An 11,047-nucleotide genomic window follows, 5' to 3' on the forward strand; every position below is an offset into this window, starting at 1 on the left:
GCGGATAACATGTCTTATCTGTGAGCCAGTCAGCCTTCCCTCCTGGAGACTGGCCCTGAGTATTTGTTTCATAACTTGCTTCCACACTGCTTAATTTATTTATTTTTATTAAGAGGCCAGACCCTCTTTTCTCTATTCTAAAATAAAACAACCATGCGATCATTTCTTTAGATTTTTTGATGTTTACCTGGCAGTTTCAATAGTTCAGTAGGCTATGTGTGGCCTTTAGTTCCCATCCCTTCACTTTAGATATGCTGTTACCAGCTGGTGACAATACACACACATCTCCAGTATGAATTGCAGAGTTGGCATTTCTCTTGATATAAAAGATTGATGATTTCTGCTTGAACCTACCTGAATTCAAGGCAAAAGCTTTCTATTATATTTTATATCAAATTGAGTTTCTCTATCAAAACAACTCAAAAATAACTCACCTATACTAACTGAGCAGAAAAAAATTGAGTATATCTTTTTAAAAGCAAATGCTTCTTCAGGCATTAAAAAAAGGCCATCATAATGTAGTAGGAAGAATACTGGAAGAAGAATTATGAGGCCTGTGTACTAGTACTGGCTATGACTCTAAACATCTGAGCTTGGCCAAGTCTCTTCCTTCTGGGCCTCAGTTTCCTCATCTGTAAAATGGGGAGTTGGACTAACTTATTAACCATTTCCTCAAGCTGGACTATCTACAATGTCATCACAATCATTTCCTTTCTTTTCCCTATAATGCTGTACCCCACCCTGATAAGCCTCCATCAGTACACCAGCCTCAAACCTTCAATTGCCATCAAAATCTTTCCTAGCTCCTTAATATATGCGTATGTAAACCTATGTAGAAATAAAAACCAAATATTTTTAAAACGGGAAAATAATAGCAAAACTTATGACATTTTTCCTCAGTTGTGTCTCTGGACTGTCTTTGTTTAGGCTGCTTAGGTTTTCTTTTATAATCATTCTTTTTTAAATTTTATTTTATTTTTATTTATTTTTGAGACGAGGTTTCACTCTGTCACCCAGGCTGGAGTGCAGTGGTGTGATCTCAGCTCACTGCAGCCTCGACTTTCTGGGCTCCAGCGATTCTCCTGCCTTAGGCTCCTGAGTAGCTGGGACCATGGTGCATGTCACCGCTGCTGGCTAATTTTTGTATTATTTGTAGAGACGGGGTTTCACCATGTTGCCTAGGCTGGTCTCAAATTCCTGGCCTCAAGTGATCCGCCCGCCTCAGCCTCTTGAAGTGCCGGGATTACAGGCATGAGCCACAGTGCCTGGTGGGTTTTTCCCTTTCTCTCTCCAGCCTTTACCCATGGTTTTCAAATAGGAATGTGCCAGGTCGGGTGCGGTGGCTCACGCCTGTAATCCCAGAATTTCTGGAGGCCGAGGCAGGCAGATCACGAGGTCAGGAGTTCGATACCAGCCTGGACAATATGGTGAAACCCCATCTCTACTAAAAATACAAAAATTAGCCGGGCATGGCGGCCCATGCCTGTAATCCCAGCTACTCGGGAGGCTGAGGCAGAAGAATCACTTGAACCCAGAAGGTGGAGGTTGCAGTGAGCTGAGATCGTGCCACTGCATTCCAGCCTGGGCGACAGAGCGAGATTCCATCTCAAAAAAAAAAAGAAGAAGAAAAGAAAAAAATCAAAGAGAAATGTGCCAATTTTTCCAGGCTTGGGAACCAACATCCTTCTTACCCCTTCTCCTTCCTCTTTGGCTCCTTTTCCTCTGGCTTCTCCCCTTTCCTCTGGCTCCTCCCGCGTTCATCTGGCCCTTCCCCCTTTCATCTGGCCCTCCCCTTGTCCTCTGGCCCCTCCCCTTATCCTCTGGCCCCTTTCCTTATCCTCTGGCTCCTCCCCCTTTCCTATGGCTCCTCCCTTCTCCTCTGGCTCCTCCCCCAGCCCCTCAGATCCCCCACCTCCTGCTCCTTCTCCTATGCCTCTGGCTCCTCCCCCCCTCTTCCTCCTTGTTTTCTGTAGAATTTGATGCTCCTGGTGACAGCGGCCTTTCACAGCGGGGGTTCCTTAAATCCTGTCTGCAAATCAGAGTGTTCCTGCCTTTTCTCTGAAGAGTGGAGCCAAGTGGAACAGCCCCGTTTCCTTTCTCAGAGTAGATTTATCACATGTTGCACTTATTAATTAACAACCTTTCTGCCAGGTTGTTTTGGGGAATCTTGTAAGTTGCCTCTTTAAAAAAAATTGACTCACTTCCAGAGCTTCAAGTGACACTCCCTTACATCATCAAATTGAGCAAGACTTTGATGAACACTTAACCAGTTAGTATTCTCTTAATCTATCCTACAAGCTTCTGATTACTCCAGAAGATTCACTAAGAATTTTGAGATTTAAAGATAATAGAATTTACAGTAGATTAGATATTAGGGGTCATACACTATACATGATTTTGTGAGTCATTACTTGGGCAATAAGCTACGGCTATAACTAGAAATGTAGGTTTGACAGATTGATGGCACACCTCTGGTCCACCAGTCACAGAACTCTGCACAACCAGGCAAGACATGGGCTTAATTCCAATAGGCTTAGGAAAGCAGTCACACACTGAAATGACTTCTTTGGAACAAAGACATGATTTGAGTTCACAGAGGGCTGAACAGCATTCCGGGGCACAAGGCAGCAGCTGGTAGCAGGCAGGAGGGCAGCCAAAGCCAGAAATCTCAGCCAAATCAAAGGTCAAGGCAAAAGTTAAGCTAGGAGTGAGACCTGCAAGTAGAAGCTAGCGCACTGATGGGTGCATCCATTGTCAGAGTCAGGCCATGGAACAAATACAGGTAGACACATAGAATAACTAACTCCCGGGAGGCCCAGATACAGAAGGATATGGAAACAAGGATAGCCAAAATTATAGGGATAGCCAAGAGCTACACAAAAGCCAAAGTAGGTGAGGTGGGCAGAAGAACAAATATAGTACCCCTTTCCTTAGGAGAGCCTGACCCTGAAGCAAGGTGTCCTGGCCAGAGGACTCTCATACTGCGAGATGAAAACCCATGGCAGAACTGGTCCAGGACAGCTGGAAGAAGGAGGGAAGATGGTCTACAGAGGGGGATACATTTTCATTGGAACAAAAGCCCATTCTCTTGTTACTTTTTGGTAGTTTACTGAGGGTGGCTTCACAAAACAATGTAAACCGCAAATCGAAAGGAAGCTGTTGAGTCTAACTCTTCAGAGTGAAAAAATTGGACAACCAGAGAACTGGTTAAATAAGTTATCCTAGCTTCATATAGCGGAAAACTTTACATTTATTAAAATGATGATATAGATAGTTTTATATTGATATGGGAAAATGTCTACAATATACTGAGTGAAAAAATGCTATAGACAGATATATGGTATAATTCCAGTTAGAAAAAATAGTCAATCCTATAGGCACATACACACACATATGCATGTGTGTGCACACGTAGGACTGAAATTCAGCCAGTGCTTACTGGTAAAGTCATTTAGACATATCCATTGTTTAATTTAATTTAATCTAATAATTTAATTTAATTTTCTTTTGAGACAGGGTCTCACTCTGTCACTCAGGCTGTAGTGCAGTGGTGTGATCTCGGCTCACTGCAACCTCCGCTTCCCAGGTTCAAGTGATTCTTGTGCCTCAGCCTCCCTAGTAGCTAGGACTACAGACGTGTGCCACTATACCTGGCTAATTTTTGTATTTGTAGTAGAGCTTGGATTTCACCCTATTGTCCAGGTTGGTATCAAACTCCTGACCTCAGGTAATCTGCCCGCCTGGGCCTCCCAAAGTGCTGGGATTACAGGCGTGAGCCATCGTGCTGGGCTGACATACCCATTGTTGATGGTCCCTGTCTGTGCTTTGATTGGTCAGTGCTTTTTCTGTATCAGTCATTAAGTATTTTAAATATTATTTCTGTATGCATGCATAGGAAAATGTTCCCCCAGATACTAACTGTAGTCATTAGGTGGGTTCTAGGGATTTCTTTTTTTTTTAACCATACTTTTTAATATTGTTTTAATTTTCACAACTTGCATATGTCAATTTTACAGTCAGAATAAATAATAAAGTTATTTTCATTTTGGAAGAAAGTTATAAAAGATTTGCTTAAGCAAAAAAAAAATGTTTCAGAAAAGGACTTCTGATAGGAATAAGCATAGCATGTAAACTTCTTGTTTGGACTTTGAGAAATTTGGCTCTTTTTCTTCAAAATTATTATGTCCCTGTGGGAACTGCCTTCTTAATTTTGGCACTTCCTTGCCTCAAATATCAAAACCTTGTTTTGTTTTGTTTTTTTTGGTAAGATCACTAGGCTGCTTAGGCAAATGTAATAATCCTAATGAGTCTAGATTTCACAGGAACAGCTGACAGATATTCTCCTGTTATCCTTTTGGTCAAGACAAGGAAATACAGGCTGGATGCTAAGACATTTGGAAGAGTTTGAATAATTATAATCACAAGGAGCCTCCTTAATGAACTCGAAGACAAATTGGAGTATGATTTTTGGGTCAAGTCCCTGGGCTCTGTCTTCAGCCCTGTGCTGGCTGGTATTTAAATCAATGACTTGGATGAAAACAAAAATGTAAGGATGTACCTGTGGAATATGTGGTTGACTTGAAACAAAGAGGGAGAGCAGCAAATATTTTGGGTGATAGAATCCAAAATGCCAGAGAAAACACAATAGGGATCAATGTCAGGTTCTGCCCTGGGGTTCAAAGGGCCAGGAATTTGCACAGGCTGGGATGATTGGCTGACAGCAAGGGTCTGGGACTTGGCTTAATAGAAAACACAAGTCAGAAATATGATGAGGGAACTGGAATAGCTACAGGATCTTGGGTAGCATTTACAGGAATGAGGCATTCAGAATGAGGAAGACATTAACCTTGTGCTACATTGAATGTCAAAGATGGCAACTATTCAAAGGTGGAATGGGTTGCCTCATGAAGGCATCTCTAGCTCAATGTGTCTCTCTTTCCCAGCCCTCTCAGGAAGTGGTGAAGGAGATGATACAATTCTCCAAGGATACATTGGAAAAGATAGACAAGGCTCGTTCCGAGGGTTTGTATCATGAGGTAAGAATTCACTTGTTATAGAGGATGGGGGTAGAAAGGAGGGTGGAAACATTCTCCAGTAAGGGAGGGAAGTGGCGTGAGAACGGGCGGCGGGGGAGGGGGGCTACCAAGCAGGTTATTTTTCTAGAAGATGTCCCTTGGTTGAGATCATGACTCTTCTTGTCCGTAAATCTTTAGCATCTCTTAGGGGTGCGTTCTCAGTGACTGTTTAACCCAATGAAACTGGGTCTGAGGGGAGCAAATGCAGCCAGACACTTGTCCCTGGGGGATCTGTGATAGCTAAACCTGGTATCGGAGATGGGGGAATGCAAATGCCAGTGGACATACTGGGAGTGAGTTGCTTGTTTTCCCATAATTGAATGCATGTGCCAGCTACAGTTTTCAGTCTCTCCCAAATGAGCATTCAACCTTGGCTCTTGAAGCACCAGGGATTCTCAGCTGGCTCTACACTAGAATCACCTTTGAAAAATTTTGATGCTCAGGCCCCCACTCAGGACAATTTCACCAGAATCTCTGGCCATGGGACCCTGATATCAAGATTTTTAAAGCTCTTGGGTGATTTCAATGTGTAACCAAAGCCGAGACCCACTGCCAAACACTGGCCTGCGGGGTATTTGCATTGAATTAACCTGGGCAGCTTATTGGAAATACTGATTTCCATTCTCATACTCTAAGATGTGACTCATTCAATCTGCAACAGAAAACAGGGACCATGAATTAGTATTTTGTTCCTCAAGCTCGCTAAGCAACTCGAATGTTAATGTCACTAGGGCATGCAGATTTGGGAGATTAATTTCTATTCATTTCTATTTCTATTTCTTTTTTTTTTTTTTTGAGATGGAGTCTCGCTCTGTCACCCAGGCTGGAGTGCAGTGGCACGATTTCGGCTCACTGCAAGCTCTGCCTCCCAGGTTCACGCCATTCTCCTGCCTCAGCCTCCCAAGTAGCTGGGACTACAGGTGCCCGCCACCACGCCTGGCTAATTTTTTGTACTTTCAGTAGAGAAGGGGTTTCACCATGTTAGCCAGGATGGTCTCGATTTCCCAACATCATGATCTGCCCGCCTTGGCCTCCCAAAGTGCTGGGATTACAGGCGTGAGCCACTGCGCCTGGCCTCATTTCTATTTCTATTTCCCTTCTCCTCTTCCTCCTTCTTTACTAACTCATTTATTGCACATTTCTAAACCCTTACTGGGGTGGCCAACACAAGACACTCTCCTTGCCTGGAAGGAGTTCTGTCAGGTGGGTAGACAGTCACACACACAAAGTGTTATTGTACAACATGGAAAATCTGTCAGAGGCACGAGGTGGGAGCTGGAGTGAGCAGGAGGGCCCCACTGGCTCCATTGCCCTGGGTTCTCTCCTGTTCGTTTCTTCTCCTTCTCCATTCAGACTTGGCAGGGCTAGGTGTGGCTCTGGACACTGCCTCCATAGGTTTAAGAGGATTGTTTTCAGGATGAATTGATTGCCACCATCATTTTTCCACTCCCCGCCACCTCGGGGTGGCCCCCACCACCTCGGGTTGCCTCATGAACTCTGGGAAAGTCTCAGAGCAAAATTAGTTCTCACTGATTTCAAATGGAATTGTATGACATTTCTCCCATGAGAGCAGCAAAGGAAGGAGAGGAGAACAACAAACACCTAAAATCTAGAGACCACTAGACTTTGTAGGGTAGGGCCTAATCCTATGTCTGTACAAGAGTCAGTCAGAAAAGCCTGACTCCAGGACGATTGCGGTCAGGTCCATCTTTTTCCTCACCAGGGCCAAGGCTGCATCCTTCTGGGGATGTTTCCCAGCTTCCTGGGAGCCTCCTTCTCTGCTCATCCATCTTGAACACTTCAGTAGGACATAATTATTCAAACTCACTGAGCCTCAGAACCACCCAGGGGCTTATACAAACTACACATCCAGGGTTTCTCTCCCAGATATTTGGTTTCAATTGGTCTGGGGTAGGACTTGAACTTCAGTGTTTTAAAAAAGCTTTCAGATGTTTCCAAAGCACAGTGAGTGGAGAATCACAGGAATGGTGGTGAAGCTGCGGCTCAACTGCTTGGTTTCAGTGCTTGATCCATTGCTCACCATCTGTGTGACTTTGGCAAAGTATTTACCCTCTCTGTGCTTCAGTTTTCTCATCTCGTAAAATGGGATTATTAGTAGTACTCATCTCAATGTGTTCTTATAAGATATATAAATATATTTGTATATGTATATATGCGCATGCATATATACACACACACACACACACACATATCGATATCTTTAGAGAATTGGTTCTAGGACTGCCACAGATACTAAAATCTTCAGATGCTCAAGTACCTTGTAAAAATAGTGTATTTTTGCGTACAACCTATGCACATCCTTCCATATACTTTAAAGCATCTCTGGATTACTTATAACACCTAATACTATGTAAATGCTGTGTAAATAGCTGTTATGCTGTATTGATGTGTTTGTATTGTTTTTTGCTGTTGTATGATTCTTTCTTTCTTTTAAAATATTTTTGGCCAGGTATGGTGGGGCTCATGCCTGTAATCCTAGCACTTTGGGAGGCTGAGGTGGGCGGATTGCCTGAGCTCAGGAGTTGGAGACCAGCCTGGGCAACATGGAGAAACCCTGTCTCTACTAAAAATACAAAAATTATTTGGGCGTGGTGGTGTGCACCTGTAATCCCAGCTACTCAGGAGACTGAGGCAGGAGAATCGCTTGAAGCTAAGACGGGGAGGTTGCAGTGAGCTGAGACTGAGCCACTGCACTTCAGCCTGGGCAATGGAGTGAGACTCTTGTCTCGAAATATATATATATATTTGACCTGCAGTGGGTTGAATCCATGGATGTGGAACTTGTGCATATACAGATCTGACTGTACATATATGTGTGTGTTTGTGTGTGTGTGTATGTATAGCTTTCATAGCTTCCTGCTACCTATTGATTTTGGAAACTCCTCGCTGTGCTGCATCTGCCATGTCTCACACCATTACCCTTCCCATTCTTACACCTTAGCCAACAGGACCACTTTGCAATTCATACCCCAAACCTGTGCTTTCCCACCTCTGTCAGCAATTGCCCCAGTCTTAAAAAGAATGATTGTCTGGTATCACCATGATGGTCGCGTATGTGAATTAAACGTGTGCTCTGGTGCAATGGTAATGGGCAGGGCCTCTGTCTCACTCTAGGTTGTGAAATTATGCCGGGAGTGCCTGGAGAAGCAGGAGCCAGTGTTTGCTGACACCAACATCTACATGCTGCGGATGCTGAGCATTGTTTCGGAGGTCCTTTCCTACCTCCAGGCCTTTGAGGAGGCCTCGTTCTATGCCAGGAGGATGGTGGACGGCTATATGTAGGTGACGATTCTAGGTCTCAGATAGTCTCCTGGAAGTGTGTGTATTCCAGGGATGGCAAATAGATGGCACATTTACTGGTGCCTCTCCCTCCTATACCCACAGCAGGCGTCAGTAATCCATCATGGTTCTCTTTTTGACTGAGTCTTTTTATCATGGTGCTCCAGTGTTAATGACCAATCAGAGTTTGTGCTTGAGATGAAACCTATTTGTCATCCCTGGTCTTTCCCAAATTCTCCAGCACATCTATCACTTGGGTGGCATCTTCTGCTTTTGACTTCCTTCAGGCTAACCCCAGCTTGATTTTAAGTGATTGGACCCTGCCCTCCACCCTGTAATCAACACAGGCAAGTCTAGGAGCTTTTATTTATTTATTTATTTATTTTTAAAAGAGCCATCAATCACTTTGCTTAAAAATTGTAAAATTCTGGCCAGGCGCGGTGGCTCACGCCTGTAATCCCAGCATTTTGGGAGGCCGAGGCGGGAGGATCACGAGGTGGGGAGATAGAGACCATCCCGGCTAACATGGTGAAACCCCGTCTCTATTAAAAAATACAAAAAATTAGTCAGGCATGGTGGAGGGCACCTGTAGTCCCAGCTACTTGGGAGGCTGAGGCAGGAGAATGGCGTGAACCTGGGAGGCGGAGCTTGCAGTGAGCCTAGACTGCGCCACTGCACTCCAGCCTGGGCGACAGAGCAAGACTGTCTCAAAAAAAAAAAATTGTAAAATTCAATTCCCTTGCCTTCCATCTGCCAATACCCTCTCTTGCTTTCTGTGTTTATGTTGTCATGCAAATTTGTGTTTCTGGCCAAATAAGTTGACACACGTTCATTTCTTTGAGAGGATGTTAGTCATAAACAAAATGTAGATAAACTGTACAACATGCTAAGGAAGCCCTGCAAAAGGGTGCCAACCAGGTGAAAATACAATGCTGTCTCAAAAAGGACATTTAAATTATTTTTTTCTCCCTTGACCTTCCTACCACTTTTTGGGGAGACGTCTGAGGTACTCCCAAATGCTGTGAGCTTCCTGTGCTCAAGCTCAGATAATATGGAGTCTACAGAGGCAGGGAGGCCTCCTTGAGCTGCAGTGGGCTCCTCCCAGTTCGAGCTTCCCAGCGGCTTTGTTTACCTACTCAAGCCTCAGCAATGGCGGGCGCCCCTCCCCCAGCCTCGCTGCCGCCTTGCAGTTTGATCTCAGACTGCTGTGCTAGCAATGAGCGAGGCTCCATGGGTGTAGGACCCTCCGAGCGAGGCGTGGGATATAATCTCCTGGGGTACCATTTGCTAAGACCATTGGAAAAGCGCAGTATTAGGGTGGGAGTGACCCAATTTTCCAGGTGCTGTCTGTCACCCCTTTCCTTGGTTTGGAAAGGGAATTCCCTGACCCCTTGCACTTCCCAGGTGAGGTCATGCCTTGCCCTGCTTCGGCTTACACTCGGTGCGCTGCACCCACTGTCCTGCACCCACTGTCCGACAATCCCCAGTGAGATTAACCTGGTACCTCAGTTGAAAATGCAGAAATCATTCGTCTTCTGCGTCGCTGACGCTGGGAGCTGTAGACTGGAGCTGTTCCTATTCGGCCATCTTGGCTAGAGTCCCCAAGCTCAGAAAGTATGATCCTGGTCCCTTTTTCTCACAAGGAGTTGGCTGGGCAGCCCAGGCCGGAGTTTCAGCTGTCACAGCCTCACTGTGTAGAATGTTTGGCAACTTGTTCCATATCTCTGTGCCTCAGTTCCCCCTTGGCGGCTACAGAAGCCTTGCAGTGCTGAGGGGAAGACAGATGGGCTTAATCAACAAGGGCACTTTATACATTATTAAATTAAGTGCAGATATAAGGGTGATTGGTATGATGTATAATTATCTGCTATGCTCCCACAGGAAGCTCTACCACCCCAACAATGCCCAACTGGGCATGGCCGTGATGCGGGCAGGGCTGACCAACTGGCATGCTGGTAACATTGAGGTGGGGCACGGGATGATCTGCAAAGCCTATGCCATTCTCCTGGTGACACACGGACCCTCCCACCCCATCACTAAGGACTTAGAGGCAAGTAGCGTCTTGAGGCTGGTGTTCCCTTCCTGGCCTGAGCTTTCTGAGGATGGGAGTGTGAGTTCAGGTGGACTCTGCTTTAGAAAAGTCCACATACTCCCAGCTAGACAAAAGGGAACTCAGAAACGCTTTAGCCCACTACCCTTGTGTGTTAGACTGTTCATGTTACCCTAAATGAATACCTGAGACTGGGTAATTTATAAAGAAAAGAGGCTTATGTTGGTTCATGGTTCTGCAGACTGTATAGGAAGTGTGGTGCTGGCATCTGCTTCTGGTGAGGGCCTCAGGAAGCTTCTAATCATGCCAGGAGGGAAAGGGAGCCAGTGTGTCACCTGATGAAAGAGGGAGCAAGAGAGAGAGGCAGAGGTGCCAGGCTTTTTTCAACAAGCAGATCTGGTGTGAACTCAGAGCGACAACTCACTCCTACCAAGTGGGTGGCACTAAGCAATTCACGAGGGATCTGCTCCCATGACTCAAGCACGTCTACCAGGCCCCACCTCCAACACTGGGGATCACATTTCAATGTGAGATTTGGAAGGGACAGATATCCAAACCATATCACCTTGCTTCACACATGAGGAAACTGAGGCCCAGGGAAGGAGGACAATCTGTCCATAGT

General features: G+C 45.2%; 1 protein-coding gene across 2 annotated transcripts in view, besides 2 other annotated features; it reads left to right on the forward strand.

The window, feature by feature from the left end:
- Positions 1-11,047, forward strand: part of SMYD1 (SET and MYND domain containing 1) — a 45,560-nt gene that overhangs the window by 30,290 nt on the left and 4,223 nt on the right. For both annotated transcript variants that reach the window (NM_198274.4, NM_001330364.2), the window contains 3 exons: positions 4,944-5,036; positions 8,211-8,374; positions 10,257-10,425. In NM_198274.4, coding sequence (NP_938015.1) covers positions 4,944-5,036; positions 8,211-8,374; positions 10,257-10,425 — 426 coding nt within the window. The remainder of the gene's footprint in view (positions 1-4,943; positions 5,037-8,210; positions 8,375-10,256; positions 10,426-11,047) is intronic.
- Positions 8,990-9,491: an enhancer, noted in NCBI's record as "H3K4me1 hESC enhancer chr2:88406623-88407124 (GRCh37/hg19 assembly coordinates)". NCBI's record gives its function as "activates a minimal SCP1, AML or CMV promoter by ChIP-STARR-seq in naive and primed H9 embryonic stem cells {active_cell/tissue: H9 hESC(naive and primed)}" and the evidence as "EXISTENCE:reporter gene assay evidence [ECO:0000049][PMID:30033119]".
- Positions 9,492-9,991: an enhancer, noted in NCBI's record as "H3K4me1 hESC enhancer chr2:88407125-88407624 (GRCh37/hg19 assembly coordinates)". NCBI's record gives its function as "activates a minimal SCP1, AML or CMV promoter by ChIP-STARR-seq in naive and primed H9 embryonic stem cells {active_cell/tissue: H9 hESC(naive and primed)}" and the evidence as "EXISTENCE:reporter gene assay evidence [ECO:0000049][PMID:30033119]".

The sequence above is a fragment of the Homo sapiens genome, chromosome 2 (assembly GCF_000001405.40).
Source record: "Homo sapiens chromosome 2, GRCh38.p14 Primary Assembly".
NCBI lineage: Eukaryota > Metazoa > Chordata > Mammalia > Primates > Hominidae > Homo > Homo sapiens.